General features: G+C 37.5%; 1 long non-coding RNA gene across 3 annotated transcripts in view; it reads right to left on the bottom strand.

Moving 5' to 3' along the window:
* LANCL1-AS1 (LANCL1 antisense RNA 1) overlaps positions 1-14,378 on the bottom strand; it is a 145,622-nt gene extending 131,244 nt beyond the window's left edge. For all 3 annotated transcript variants that reach the window (NR_110604.1, NR_110605.1, NR_110606.1), the window contains exon 1: positions 14,256-14,378. This is a non-coding gene — a long non-coding RNA (LANCL1 antisense RNA 1). The remainder of the gene's footprint in view (positions 1-14,255) is intronic.
* Between the last annotated feature and the right edge of the window lie 2,355 nt (positions 14,379-16,733).

The raw sequence follows: 16,733 nt of genomic DNA, 5'->3' as shown, positions 1-16,733 counted from the left end.
GAAAGAGATAGTCCATGAAAAGGGAAACCAAAAGCAAGCAGGAGTAGCTGTACTTATATCAGAAAAAAAAACATATTTTAAGTCAAAAACTATAAAAAGAGACAAAGAAGTTCATTATATAATGATAAAGGGATCAATTCAGCAAAGGCATACACTTCTGAACATATGTGCACCCGACACCAGAGCATCCAGATATATAAATCAAATATTAGAATTAGAGGGAGAGAGAGTTTCCAATACATTGAGGATTTCAATACTGCACTCTCAGCATTAGAAAGATTATCTAGACAGAAAATTAACAAATTAACAAAGAAACATTGAATTTTGCATTAGACCAAATGGACCTAATAGACATTTGCAGAGCATTTCATCTAATAGCCACAGAACACACATCCTGCTCATCAGCCCATGGGATCACTCTCCAGGAGACATCATTCTCCAGGACAGAAAACAACCCTCAACAAATTTTTCAAAAATCAAAATTGTGTCAAGTATATTCTCAGACCACAATGAAATAAATGTAGACATCATTAACAAGAGGGGTTTCTGTTGTTGTTGTTTCCAAGATGGTGGATTAGAGGCTCTTAGCATGCCTCAGTCACCTGGAAGTAGCAAAATAGTGCATAAAAATCAGTTTTTTTATACTTAATTCAAGAAGGAAAATGAGAATTCACCAGAATACTAAAGGACACTCCAAGCCCAGGGGAGAAGGTGGGCAAGCAGCCCTAGTGATGGCAATCAGCTTATAAAAGTGAGTGAAGCCCCAGTACAGGAGAGGGGCAGTCTGTCTCCCTCTGTGACTCACCTTCCACTGGAGATCTGTGTAATCAAGGCCATAAAAGAGCACAATTTTTCTCTCAAACCCTGCAGCTAACTTGGGTACAGTCTGAGAGACAAAGAGAGAGAGAGAGAGAGAGACCAGGAAAAGCTGCAGGCATTTTCCTAGATCTGAGAATGAGAAGAGGACTCCATTTATAATCCAGGCTTATACAAAGATAGTCATTATTTGGCTACCTGGCAGCAGTAGCCATTGCAGGCATTGTGGTCTAAGCCCAGAGTTTGGAGTGTATGCTTTGGAATGGGAGCCAGAATTGAGTGGCATATGTCACATGCACTCCATCAGTAGGTGCTGGAATTAGACTTTCTCCCATTACAGGACCACCACAGGGGGAGGCTTGAAGTTTCTCCTTCGTGGTGAGACTTGCAGCCACGAACAGCTTTTGCGACCTGGAACCTGTCTGCCTGTGTCATTGCTGTGTGCCCCAGCCTGCTTCATTGACCAGTTAGGGAAGAGTGCCTCACCAGCTCTGAAGAGTAAGAGGGGGGCAGTCCCTACTTCCCCAGATATCTAAACCTCAGGCAGACAACCCCTAACTAAGAGAGGAGTACCGCCAAACAAGGCATGCCTTGGGTCAAAGGAAGCACAAGTGTGATGCCACTCACTGTATGGGGTACCATTAATGCCTGTGAATGAATCTGGGAAGGGGGTCATCCATCACTCAACCCTTGCTCCTCTCCCCATGTACTGCTGTGAATGTGGCAGGGCTCCTCCTATTGGGTCCTAGAGGTGATGGGATGAAAGAGGCCACTTCTCCAGCTTCTCCAGCTTCTCCAGCAGCTTCACCTCTGCCAAAGGGAAGTATACACTGAGGGAGGGTGTTTTTCCCCAATTCTCTGTCACCATTGCCTAGGCCAATGGCAAGCACATGCAGAGTAAGAGCCAACCTGCTGGCTCTTACTCTTTCTCAAGTGCCATCTACTGTACTGCAGCCTGAATTACACCACGAAAATATATATATATATATATATATATATATATATAATCACCACAAGCGGTGTCTGAGAAAGTCACTGCACAAACCTAACTGCAGCCAAAAGACCCATACAGATATTTGGCCCTCTAAAAGCACCCAGGAACAAAACCAAGTGATTATACACAACATACACCACAGTCACACCCTCGAGGGAAAAAAGAATAAAAAGTCAAAAAGCCCAAACCAAATGATAGCAACTTCAAAAAAGAAGTGCCAGCTCCCTCTGATGAGAGGGAATCAGCACATGAACTCTGGCAATACAAAAACCCAGAGGGTTTTGTCACCTCCAAAAGACTGTACTAGCTCCCTAGCAATGAATCTTAACCAGAATGAAATGTCTGAAATGAGAGGTGCTGAATTCAGAATCCAACACAAAGAAAACAGGAAAACGATCCAGAATCTGAAAGACAACATAGCTATATAAGAAATAACCAAACAGAACTTCTCAAATGGAAAAATTCACTTAAGGAACTTCAAAATACAACAGAAAGCCTTAACAATAGACCAGACCAAGCAGAAGAAAGAATGTCAGAGCTCAAAGACCAGTCCTTCAAATCAGTTAAGTCAGACAAAAATAAAGAAAAAAGAACTTTTTAAACATGAGCAAAGACTTTGAGAAATACAAAATTATGTAAAGTGACCAAACCTACAACTTGTTGGCATTTCTGAGAGAGAATAAGAGAAAGTAAGCAACTTGGAAAATACATTTGAGGATATAATTCAAAAAAAGTTTCCTCAATCTTGCTAGAGAGGTCAACATGCAGAGATACAAGAAATCCAAGTGTATTAGCTTATTTTCATGCTGCTGATAAAGACATATCCAAAACTGGGAACAAAAAAGGTTTAATTGGACCTACAGTTCCACGTGGCTGGGGAGGCCTCAGAATCATGGCGGGAGGCAAAATGTACGTCTTACATGGCAGCAGCAAGAGAAAAATGAAGAAGCAAAAGCAGAAACCCCCATGAGATCCATCAGATCTCATGAGACTTATTCACTGTCATGAGAATAGCATGGGAAAGACTGGCCCCCATTATTCAATTACCTCCCCGCTGGGTCCCTCTCACAACATGTGGGAATTCTGGGAGATACAATTCAAGTTGAGATTTGGATGGGGTCACAGCCAAACCATATCACCAAGGAACTCCAGTGAAACACTCCAGATGATGACCATCCTGAAGGCACTTAGTCATCAGACTATCCAAGGTCAACAGGAGAGAAAAAAATCTTAAAAGCAGTAAAAGAAAGGGACCTATTACCTATAAAGAAAACCCATCAGACTAAGAGATGGGTTTCTCAGGAGAAACCTTACAATTCAGAAGAGGATGGGGGCTCATTTTTAACATTCTTAATGAAAAGAAATACCAGCTAACCCAATGTAAGCTTCATAAATGAAGGAGAACTAGAGTCTTTCCACACAAGCAATTGCTACCAGAAATTTTTACCACCAGATGAGTCCTATAATAGATGCTTAAGGGAGTTTTAAACATGGAAGCGAAAGAATGATATTCACTACCAGAAAAGCAGATGTAAACACATAGCCCACAGATGCTATAAAGCAACTATAAAATTGAGACTACAAAGCAACTAGCTAACAACACTATGATAGGAGCAAAACCTCACATATCAATATTAAGCTTAAATGTAAATGGCCTAAACACTCCATTTAAAAGACAGAGTGGCAAATTGGATTTAAAAATCACCCATCCTTCTGCTCTCTTCAAGAGACCCATCTCACATGTAGTGACACTGATAAGCTCAAAATAAAGGGATGAAGAAAGTTCTATCACGTAAATGAAAAACAAAAATAATAGAATTTTTTTATTATTATACTTTAAGTTCTGGGATACATGTGCAGAACGTGCAGGTTTGTTACATAGGTATACACGTGCCATGGTGGTTTGCTGTGCCCATCAACCCGTCATCTACATTAGGTATTTCTTCTAATGCTATCCCTCTCCTAGCCCCTGATCCGCTGAAAGACCCTGGTGTGTGATGTTCCCCTCCCTGTGTCCATGTGTTCTCATTGTTCCACTCCCATTTATGAGTGAGAAGACACAGTGTTTGGTTTTCTGTTCCTGTGTTAGTTTGCTGAGAATGATGGTTTTTAGCTTCATCCATGTCCCTGCAAAGGACATGAACTTGTCCTTTTTAATAACTGCATGGTACTCCATGGTGTATATGTACCACATTTTCCTTATCCAGTCTATCATTGATGGGCATTTGCATTGGTTCCAAGTCTTTGCTATTGTGAACAGTGTTGCAATAAACATACACATGCATGTGTCTTTACAGCAGAATGATTTATAATCCTTTGGGTATATACCCAGTAATGGAATTGCTGGGTCAAATGGTATTTCTGGTTCTAGCTCCTTGAGGAATTGTACACTGTCTTCCACAATGGCTGAACTAATTTACACTTTTACCAACAGTGTAAAAGCGTTCCTATTTCTCCATATCCTATCCAGTATTTGTTATTTCCTGACTTTTTAATGATTGCCATTCTGACTGGCATTAGATGGTATCTCACTGTGGTTTTGATTCGCATTGCTCTAATGACCAGTGATGATGAGCTTTTTGCATATGTTTGTTGGCTGCATAAATGTCTTCTTTTGAGAAGTGTCTGTTCATATCCTTTGCCCACTTTTTTGATGGGGTTGTTTTTTTCTTGTAAATTTAAGTTCTTTGTAGATTCTGGATGTTAGCCCTTTATCAGATGGATAGAGAGCAAAAATTTTCTCCCATTCTATAGTTGCCTGTTCAATCTGATGATAGTTTCACTCTTTAGATTAATTAGATCCCATTTGTCAATTTTGGCTTTTGTTGCCATTGCTTTTGGTGTTTTAGTCATGAAGTCATTGCCCATGCCTATGTCCTAAATGGTATTGCCTAGGTTTTCTTCTAGGGCTTTTATGATTTTAGGTCTTACACTTAAGTCTTTAATCCATCTTGAGTTAATTTTTGTATAAGGTGTGAGGAAGGGGTCCAGTTTCAGTTTTCTACATATGGCTAGCCAGTTTTCCCAACACTATTTATTAAATAGGGGATGCTTACTCCATTGCCTGTTTTTGTCAGGTTTGTCAAAGATGAGATTGTTGTAGATGTGTGGCTTTATTTCTGAGTCCTCTGTTCTTTTCCATTGGTCTATATATCTGTTTTGGTATGAGTACCATGCTGTTTTGGTTACTGTAGCCTTGTAGTATAGTTTGAAGTCAGGTAGTGTGATGCCTCCAGCTTTCTTCTTTTTGCTTAGGATTGTCCTGGCTATACAGACTCTTTTTTGGTTCCACATGAAATTTAAAGTGGCTTTTCTAATTCTGTGAAGAAAGTCAATGGTAGTTTGATGGGGATAGCATTGAATCTAAAAATTACTTTGGGCAGTATGGCCATTTTCACTATATTGATTCTTCCTGTCCATGAGCATGGATTGGTTTTCCATTGGTTTGGGTCCTCTCTGATTTCCTTGAGCAGTGGTTTGTAGGCCTCCTTGAAGAGGTGCTTCACATCCCTTGTAATTTTTATTCCTAGGTATTTTATCCTCTTTGTAGCAATTGAGTTTGCTCATGATTTGACTGTTTGTCTATTATTGGTGTATAGAAATGCTTGTGATTTTTGCACATTGATTTTGTCTCATGAGACTTTACTGAAGTTGCTTATCAGCTTAAGCAGATTTGGGGCTGAAACAATGGGGTTTTCTAAATATACAATCATTCCATCTGCAAACAGAGTCAATTTGACCTCCTCTCTTCCTATTTGAATACTCTTTATTTCTTTTTCTTGCATGACTTCCCTGGCCAGAACTTCCAATATGTTGACTAGGAGTGGTGAGAGAGGGCATCCTTGTCTTGTGCTGGTTTTCAAAGGGAATGCTTCCAGCTTTTGCCCACTTAATATGATATTGACTGTGAGTTTGTCATAAATAGGTCTTATTATTTTGAGATACGTTCCATCAATACCTAGTTTATTGAGAGTTTTTAGCATGAAGGGGTGTTGAATTTACCAAAGGCCTTTTTTGCATGTACTGAGATAGTCACCACTGATCCCACAGAAATACGAACTACCATCAGAGAATACTAAACATGCCTCTATGCAAATAAACTAAATAAATTCTAGAAGAAATGGATACATTCCTGGACATATACACCCTCCCAAGACTAAACCAGGAAGAAGTTGAATTCCTGAATAGACCAATAAGTTCTGTAATCGAGGCACTAATAGCCTACCAACCAAAAAAAAAGCCCAGAACCAGGTGGATTCACAGCCAAATTCTACAAGAGGTACAAAGAGGAGCTGGTACCATTCCTTCTGAAACTATTCCAAACAATAGAAAAAGAGAGACTCCTCTCTAACTCATTTTATGCGGCCAGCATCATCCTGATACCAAAACCTGGCAGATAACAAAACAAAAAAAAATTTCAGGCCAATATCCCTGATGAACATTGATGCAAAAATCCTCAATAAAATACTGGCAAACTGAATCCAGTAGCCAATCAAAAAGCTTATCCACCATGATCAAGTTGGCTTCATCCCTGGGATGCAAGGCTGGTACGACATACACAAATCAATAAACGCAATCCATCACATAAACAGAACCAATGATAGGAGTCACTATTCTTATGTCAGATAAAACAGACTTTAAGCCAACAACAGTAAAAAAGGACAAAGAAGGGCATTGTGTAGTGATAAAGTATTCAACTCAACAAGAAGATTTAACTATCCTAAATATATATGTACTCAACTGGAGCACCAGAGCTATAAAACAATTACTTCTAGACCTAAGAAAAGGCTTAGATAGCCACATGATAATAGTGGGAGATTTTAATACTTCACTGATAGCATTAGACAGATCATTGATGCAGAAAACAATGAAATTCTGAACTTAAATTTAACCCTTGATGAATGAGAGTTAATAGACGTCTATAAAATACTCCATCCAACAACCACAGAACATACATTCTTCTAATCTGCACATGGAACATAAACTAAGATTGACCACATCCTAAGTTGTAAAGTAAACCCAACAAAATTGAAATCATATCAAGCATCTTCTTGGACTACAGTGGAATAAACCAGAAATCAGTACCAAGTGGAACTCTCAAAACTGCACAAATATATGGAAACTAAAAAACTTGCTTCAAATAACATTTTGGTAAATGATGAAATTAAGGCAGAAATTTAAAAATTCATTTAAACAAATGAAAATAAAGACACAACATACCAAAACCTCTGGATGCAGCAAAAGCAGTGTTAAGAGGAATATTTATAGCACTAAACACCTACATCAAGAATATAGAAAAATCTCAAGTTAAAAATCTAATATCACACCCAGAGGAACTAGAAAATCAAAGACAATCACAACCCAAAGCTGGCAGAAGAAAGGAAATAATTACAATCATTGCAGAACTTAATAAAATTGAGAACAAAAAACACACACACACAAAAAGGGTCAATGAAATGAAAATATGGTGAAAAGATCAACAAATTCATGGACCACTAGCTAGATTAATAAAGAAAAAAAGAGAGAGAAAAGATCTAAATAAGCACAATCAGGAATGACAAAGGTGGTATTACAACCAATCCCAAAGAAATACAAGAGATCTTCAGAGACTATTATGAACCCCTATAATATACAAATTAGAAAATCTAGAAGAAATAGATCAATACTGGGAAACACATAATCTCCCAAGATTTAATTAGTAAGAAATGGAAACCGTGAACATACCAACAATAAGTTCCAAAGTTGAACAAGTAGTTTCAAAAACCTACCAATCAAGAAAAGCCCCTGATCAGATGGATTCACAGCTAAATTCTACAGGACATGCAAAGAGGAAACAGTACCAATCCTACTGAAACTATTCCCAAAACTTGAGGAGGGATTCTTCTCGAAGTTATTCTATGAAACCAGTATCATCCTGATAAAAAATCTGGCAAAGACACAATGCAAAACAAAACCATAGGCCTATACTCCTGAAGAACATAGATTCAAAAATTCTAAACAAAATACTAGTAAACTGAATTCAGCTGTACATTAAAAAGTTAATTCACTGTGATCAAGTGGGCTTTATTTTGGAGAGGCAAGAATGGTTCAACATATGCAAATCAATAAATATGATTCCTACTCACCATAGCAAAGATATGGAATCAACCTAGTTTCCCATAAATGGTCAATTGTATAATGAAAATGTGATATATATACACCATAGAATACTAGGCAGTCATAAAAAAGAACAAAATCATGTCCTTTGCAGCAACATGAAGGCCATTATCCTAAGCAAATTAATGCAGGAAAAGAAAACCAATACTGCATATTCTCATTTATAAGTGAGAGCCAAACACCGGGTACTCTGGACATAAATATGGGAACGATAGATACTGGGGACTACTGCAGGGAGTGAGGAAGAGGGCAAGGGTTGAAAAACTAACTGTTGGGTATTGTGTTCACTATCTGGGCGATGGGATCATTTGTAAACCAAACCTCATCATCATGCAATATACCCTTGTAACAACCTGCACATGTACCCCCTGAAACTAAAATAAAAGTTGAAATTATAAAAAAATTTTAATGTGATTCACCACATAAATAATTAAAAACCATCTGAATAAATGCAGAAACAACTTTTGATAAGATGTAATGTCCCTTCATGATAAAAACTCTCAAAAAACTAGGCATTATAGGAACATGTCTCAAAATAATAAGAGCCATCTATGACAGACCCACAGCCAATATCGTACTGAATGGACAAAGTTGGAGGCATTCCCCCTAAGAACTGAAACAAGACAAGGATGTCTACTCTCACCTCTCCTATTCAACATAGTACTGGAAGTCCTAGCCAGAGCAATCAGGCAAGATAAAGAAATAAATGGCACCCAAATAGAAAGAGAAGAAGTCAGATTACCTCTCTTCACTGATGATATAATCCTATATCTAAAAAAAAAAAAAACAAAAGATCCTGCCAAAAGACTCCCAGACCTAATAAACAACTTCAGTAAAGTTTCAGGATACAAAATCAATGTATAAAAATCAGTAGCACTTCTATCGCAAATGGCCCCTGTGGAAAGGAGTTTGGAGACTTTCAAAGAACTAAAAATACAATTACATTTGACTCAGCAGTCTCAATACTGGCTATATACTCAAAGAAAAATAAATCATTCTGCTTAAAAAAATACCTGCACTCATATTTATCACAGTAATATTCACAATAGCAAAGACATGAAATCAATGTAGGGGCCCATCAGTGGTGGATTGGATAAAGAAAATGTACATACACACCATGGAATATACTACATAGTTATAAAAAAGAATGAAATTTCCTTTGCGGCAACATGAAGGCAACTGGAGGCCATTATCCTTAGCAAATTAATGCAGAAACAAAAAAACAAATATCATGTTCTCACTTATAAGTGGGAACTGAACATTGGATACACACAGATATAAAGATAGAAATAATACAATGAGGACTCCAAAGGGAAGTTGGGGTGATGGAAGGTTGAAAAACTCTCTATTGGGTACTATATTTACTATTCGGGTAACAAGATCAATAGAAACACAAACCTCATCATTATGCCATGTAATAAACCTGCACATTTACCCCATGGATCTAAAATTTTTAAAAATGGTAAGAGAAACTTTGGAAATTGTGCAAATACATGGAAAGCAAACAATAACAATATGCTCCTGAATGACCATTATTGGGTCAAAAAAGAAATGGAGGAAATAAAAAATAAAATGAATGAAATCAAAATACAAAATACCAAAACCTATGAGATACAGCAAAAGCAGTGCTATGAGGAAAGCTTGGAGCCATAAATACCTACATCAAAAAATAGTAAGATTTAAAATAAACAATCTAATGATGCACCTCAGGCAACTAGAAAAACAAGACCAAACCAAACCAAAATTAGAAGAAACAAAAATAAAGATCAGAGAAGAAAGAAATAAGATACAGAAAAAAACAAAGGATAAATGGAACAAAAAGTTGTTTTTTTCAAACAAATAAAAAATTAACTACTTGCTATACTAACCAAGGAAAAAAGTGAAAAGACAAACAAAGAAAACAGAAATGAGAAAGATATTACACCTGGTACCACAGAAATAAAATAGGTCAGAGACTATTTGAACAACTATAGATAAACAAACTGGAAAACCTAAAAGAAATGGATAAATTCCTAGACACATACAGTCTACCAAGACTGAATAAAAAAAATTAGAAAACCCAAATAGACCAACAACAAGTAATGAGATCAAAGCAGTAAAAAAAATTTCTCTAACAAAGAAAAGTCCAGGACCAGATGGCTTCACTGCTGAATTCTACCGAATTCAAAGAAAAACTAACACCAATTCTCCTCAAACTATTTCAAACATTGGAGAGGAAACAATTCTTTCTAATTCATTCTACAAGGCCAGAATTACCCTCAGGCTAAAATCAGATAAGAATGTAAAACAACCACTAAAAAAAACTGTAGGCTAATAGCCCTGATGAACATAGATGCACAATGCAAAAATCCTCAACAAAATACTAGCAAGGCAAATCCAACAGCACATCAAAAAAATAATACACCATGATCCCAGGTATTTATCCCAGTGATTCATGGGTTGCTCAACATATGCAAATCAATCAGTGTGACACCTCACATCAACAGAATGAAGAATAAAAACCATACAATTATTTCAATGAATGCAGAGAAAGTATTTGATAAATTTCAACATCCCTTCATGATAAAAACCTCAACAAAATAGGCATAGAAAAGATGTACCTCAACATAATGGAAGGCACATATGACAAACCCACAGCTAAGATCATACTAAATGAAGAAAAGGTGAAAGCCTTCCCTCTAAGAACTATAATAAAACAAGAATGCCCACTTTCACCACTCCTATTCAACATAGTACTAGAAATCCTCGTCAGAACAATCAGGCAAGAGAAAGAAATAAAAGGCACCCAAATTGGAAACGAGGAAGTGAAATTCTCTCTTTACCAATAATATAATTTTATGTCTAGGAAAACCTAAAGACTTCACCAAAAACGTTTTAGACCTCATAAATTCAATAAAGTTTCAGGATACAAAATCAATTTCAAAAATCAGTAGCATTTGTATACACAATAATGAAGTAGCTGAGAAAGAAATTAAGAATGCAATACCACTTATAATAGCTACAAGAAGATAATGAAATACCTAGGAATAAATTTAACTAAGATAAAAGACCTGTACAAGGAAAACTATAAAGTACTGGTGAAATAAATTGAAGAGAACACAAAAAAATGGAAATACATTTCATGCTCATGGATCAGAAGAATTAATATTGTTAAAATGGCCATGCTGCCCAAAGCAATCAACAGTTTCAATGGAATCCCTATCAAAATACCAATGTCATTTTTCACAGAATTAGAAAAAACAATCCTAAAATTTTCATGGGGCCAAGTAAGAGCCCAAAAACCAAAGCAACATGAACAAAAAGAACAAAGCTAGGGGCATCACCTTACCTGATTTTAATATATATTACAAGACTTTAACTAAAACAGCATAGTATTAGTATAAAAACAGTTACATAGACTAATGGAATAGAATGGAGAATCCAGGCCAGGTGCGATGGCTCATGCCTGTAATCCCAGAACTTTGGGAACCCGAGGCAGGCAGATCACTTAAGGCCAGGAGTTTGAGCTCAGTCTGGCCAACGTGGCAAAAACCCGTCTCTACTAAAAATACAAAAAATTAGCCAGGCATGGTGGTATGCACCTGTAATCCCAGCTACTCAGGAGGGAGAGGCAGGAGAATCGCTTAAACCTATGAGACGAAGGTTGCAGTGAGCTGAGATTTGCCTCTGTACTCCAGCCTGGGCAACAGAGCAAGACTCTCTCTCAGGAAAGAAAAAAAAAAATAGAGAATCCAGAAATAAATCCATGTATTTACAGCCTACTGATTTTTGACAAATGTGCCAAGAACATCCATTGGGGAAATGACAGTATCTTCAATTAATGGTGATGGGAAATTTGGATATCTACATGCAGAAGAATATAGGTATCTTCTATCTAAGCCCCTATCTTCACTACATCACATATTAATTCAAGGTACATTATAGACTTAAACACTTAAAACTATAAAACTACTAGAAGAAAACAGAGGGAAAACTCTTCAGTACATTGGTCCGGGCAAAGATCTTACACCTAAGACCTCAAAATCACAGGCAACAAAAACTAAAATAGACAAATGGTAGCATATTAAACCAAAAAGCTTCTGCATATCAAAAGAAACAACCAAGAGAGTGAAAAGACAACCTGTAAAATGGGAGAAAATATTTGTAAGCTATTCATCCAACAAGGCATTAATATCCAGAATATCAAGGAACTCAAACAATTCAACAACCAAAAAAAACCCCACAAATAATCATATTAAAAAGTGGGCAAAGGATATGAACAGATATTTCTGAAAGTAAGGCACACAAATGGCCATATACAAATGGTATATGAAAAAATACCCAACATCACTATGCATCAGAGAAATGCAAATGGAAACCACAATGAGATATCATCTTACTCCAGTTAGAATGGCTGTCATTAAAAAGATGAAAAATATCAGATTCTGGTGAGAATGCAGAGAAAAGGAAACTCTTAAACACTGTTGATGGGAAGGTAAATTAGTACAACCACTATGAAAAATAGTATGACGATTTCTTTAAAAACCAAAAAATAGAACTACCATACAATCCAGCAATCCTACTTCTGAGTATTTATCCAAAGGAAAAAGAAATCAGTACATGAATATGTGCACTTGCATGTTTATCTGAGCCCTTGTCACAATGGCAATAGGACAATAGCACTATCCAAACATCCATTTCTCTGTTGATAGACACTTAGGTAGAATCAATTCAGTAAACAATATAACCATGAGCACTGTCTCATGGAATTTATAGTCTAAGTGAGGACAATAATCAATAAATGATTCAATTATTATAAGCTATGAGTCCACCAAATGAAGTATTGCAATATGGGATGAGAGGAGTGGAACCTACTTTAGATAGGGTGATAAGTAAGACCCTTCTGAAGAGAGGACTTACTTCTAAGGTAAGACTTGAAAGGGAATAAAAACATTCATTCAAAGAAAGATTAGAAGAACAATTCAGGAAGAAAGAACAGCATATCATACTAAAGAATGAACTGAAGAAGGCCAGAATGTCTGTAGTCCAATATGTGAGGGGGAGAGTGGCAGGAGATGTTGCGGGAGCTCATCCATTTTTCATCAATATTCTAGGAAACATAAATCACTGGGAGAGGACACACTATGAAAATAACTCTACTCACACACCAGTCTGCTTTAGATAGGCCCTCTCCTTTACACCTAAATAAATATTTACAATTTGAGGGAAGAAATGGAATCAGCCTAAGCATAAGACATGAGGACTCAGAACTTGTTGGTTCCTCATCCTCCAAGCTCCAACCACAAGTTGTTTCTCCCTTTGCCAAGATATCTGGAATTTCCAGACTTGCAATATTAATGCACAGCCCTGTACATGGTCTTATATACCTATGATGACAGCCCAGTCATGAAGCTAGAGAAATGCAAAATAAGAAATTTTGCTAAAATTCTTTAGCAAAAGCTAAAGAATATGAAGACTAAATCTGAGGGAAACCCTAAGGTATATTGGATTTAACCATTATTGAAGACATAAAAAGGTTTAGTCAGAAAGTTTCTGGTGCTTCTCAAGGAATTAGTGACAGCTTTAGAGTGTGAAGACCACATTTCTTGAGTGTTCAGACTTAAAATTCTGTCTTTGTGTAAGACCTTTCAGACTCTGTTTGCTGAAGAAAGAGACTGAAATGTAAGACCTAGAAGTCATATTGTAACATTGCAGGCTAACCAGGTGTTGAGAGACCCCTTGCTATTTATTTAGCCATGTTGTAATGCCCTTTCCAATCCCAAATTCATTCTTGCTTCTAGAAGATTATTGAAGTGGGACTTGCGAGACATATAGTCTCTTTCAACAAACAGCAATATAATTCTTCCTTTACACATTCCAGGGAAGAAAAAAAAAATATCCTTTCCAGCTGGTACACAGGCTGTGATGCACTGGAACTACCTGAATCCTAACCGCCAAAAGGGCACCAGGGAGGATTTTAATATATGCAGTACGAGTGTGTCAAAAACAGCATCTTACGAGAGATTTAATCTGTTCATTTGAAAGAGTGCGGTACAAATGGTCCCGTGGGGCTCACCTCCAGGGCCGCCAACGATTTCACACTTGATGAGAATCAATATGTGTGCTTGGTCTTGACTACAAATATTTCATTAGAAGCTGAGAAAAGGGCCCCTGCTACCCCATTTTGCTTTCTTCCCGGCTTTACTGGTCCCAATTTCTTCCACGTCAGAAATGCCCATCACATTTCATATAAAAGAATGTATCCAGCAAATTAAAAAGCTAGAGACCTCAAGTTGAAATTAATACTTACAGGGTAACAGGTGTCTCACATTTTAAAAATCCTGGCACTGGTTTACAGCAGCATAAGAGTGCCCTTTGTGCTGTTTCCTCCTCTAGCAGAACTGCTCCAAACACAAGGACTGAGGCCGCCAGTCTCTCAAGAATGCCTAACGTGCCATAGGGTGGCCTCCTGGAGACATGAATACTCTCTTGGGCCCGAATTAGAAAACCTTGACCAGGACAAGTAGAAGCAAATGCACTGTCAGCCATGGGCTATTCTTATCCCTGCAGTTGTTGCCCATCTTCAAAATGGAGACAGCGAGACTCATGCTGTCTGAAGACCCTAAGACAGGCTTGACACAGGGTCCCTCTGTTTTTTTTATCCCACCCAATGTCATTCATTTTACTTTGGAAGGCAGTATTATTTCTTCTCCCTATCAAACTTTGTATTAAAGCATAACATACATTTGGAAAAATGCAGAAATCTTAAGTGTACAACTTGATGAATTATCACAAAGTGAACAAATTCATGTAACCACCAGCTCCTTCAACAAATTCATGTAAACACCAGCTCCTTCACTACCTGACCTTCCTCTCCACTACCCAACACTCCTCTCTACTACTATCCTGTCTTCGAATACCATCAGGTAGTTTCTCTTGGTCTTGAACTTTATATAAATGGAACCATAACACTGTGTGACACTGATCTATCTTATTACATGTACCTGTAGTTTGTTCATTCTTATTGCTGTGTAGTGTTCCATCACAAGGATATATGATATTCTATCCATTTTATTGCTAATGGGCATTTGGGTTGTTTCCAGTTTTGTGCAATTATGAATATCATTGCTAAAAATGTTTATGTACATTTTTTTTGAGACAGAGTCTTGCTCTTGTTGCCCAGGCTGGAGTGCAATGGTGTGATCTCAGCTCACTGTGACTTCTGCCTCCCGGGTTCAAGCAATTCTCCTGCCTCAGCCTCCCAAGTAGCTGGGATTATAGGTGCCCACCACCACACCTCGCTAAATTTTTGTATTTTTAATAGAGACAGGGTTTTGCCATGTTGGTCAGGCTGACCTCGAACTCCTGACCTCAGGTGATCCACCCACCTCAGCCTCCCAAAGTGCTGGGATTACAGGCGTGAGCCACCGTGCCCAACCTATGTACATCTTTATGCATATACATACACATTTGTGGGGGACACATGACTATGAGTGAAATTGTTGGCTTTTAAGATATGCACATGTTTAGTATTTATTCTTGGCCTTTTTGTCCTGGAGGGTGCTTTCCACTTAATTTCCCAGAAAAATATCAGCTGCCAAAATCTCTTTTGCCAGTTTGTTCTTGGAACTATGCTAAATATTGTAGGATGATGGTGAGTTAATGGGCAGTCATTGCCCTTGGACATTTATGCTCTCAATTCCTTCTCAGGAGGCAACCAAGAAGGATTTCTGATCAATAGTCTGACCATTCGGTTACTGTTTTCTTACTGCCACAGCCCCTTTTCTTGAGGTAGTCTCTGCATCGTGTGCCCTTTCTTGCCATGGTCTGGGATTTTCTGTCCCTTTCATACTCCCTCTCTCTTGCCAGAATCACATACTACAGCATCAGAATTACCCAGTGAAGCAATCTCTGAGCAATTTTAATCACTATAAATGTCCTTCCTTGAGAAATCCTACACCCCCACCTCCAGGGGAAGCAGCATGTTAACCATGTAAAGAATCACGCTGACTCAATTTCTACATGACTTACTATCTGCTTCATAAAACAAGATTCCGGAGCACTGGTTCCAGCTTGGCCCTGGATATATCATGACCTCTAACAAGGTAACTCTGAGAGCAAAAGAAGAAAAATACCAGTCTTCACTTACACAAGTATTGGATTTATTAACTGTTAAAGAAACAATACTAGTTAAAAACTTAGTGACGAAAGGAGTGTAAACATTTTAAAAAATCATCTTTATTATCCAGTCCCAGTCCTTTATCAAGTTTGCACTTAAACACCCATTTATTCTTAAAAGGAAACAGTTTACATTTTAAAATATTTTTGGAGTACCTCATAATCCCCAGTTAGAAAGTTATTTATTTTTAACCGAAAATTATTTCACTCATCCCTGTTAGTTTCATATAAAGAACAGCTGACGACTATTCTCTTAATAGCAACATTTTATTAATTAAAATTGCTTTTAAGCCACCTTTTTCTTCCTTCAACTAAGTACTGCCAAAGCCATTAACTTTTCAGAATGGGTTCTAATAGTCAATTTTGTTCATCCTCATTCTCTCTTCTAACTATTCAAATATTCAAATTCTTTCTCTTGCTCAGATTTTGGGGCTCCAAACTGTCTTGAATCATTTAAGTATATCTGCCAACACCAAAACCCGTAACATTCTTTCATTCATTTATTCATCCATTCCATTAAAAAAATGTTTTCAGCTTACTGTGAGTTGGGAGCTGGAGAGTCATTGGAGAACAAGAAAGATGAGTCCCTGATCTGATAAAGCTCACTTCC

This window comes from Homo sapiens, chromosome 2 (assembly GCF_000001405.40).
Source record: "Homo sapiens chromosome 2, GRCh38.p14 Primary Assembly".
Lineage (NCBI taxonomy): Eukaryota > Metazoa > Chordata > Mammalia > Primates > Hominidae > Homo > Homo sapiens.
Note: the sequence above shows the minus strand (reverse complement) of the source record. Positions and strands in the feature narration are given on the sequence as shown.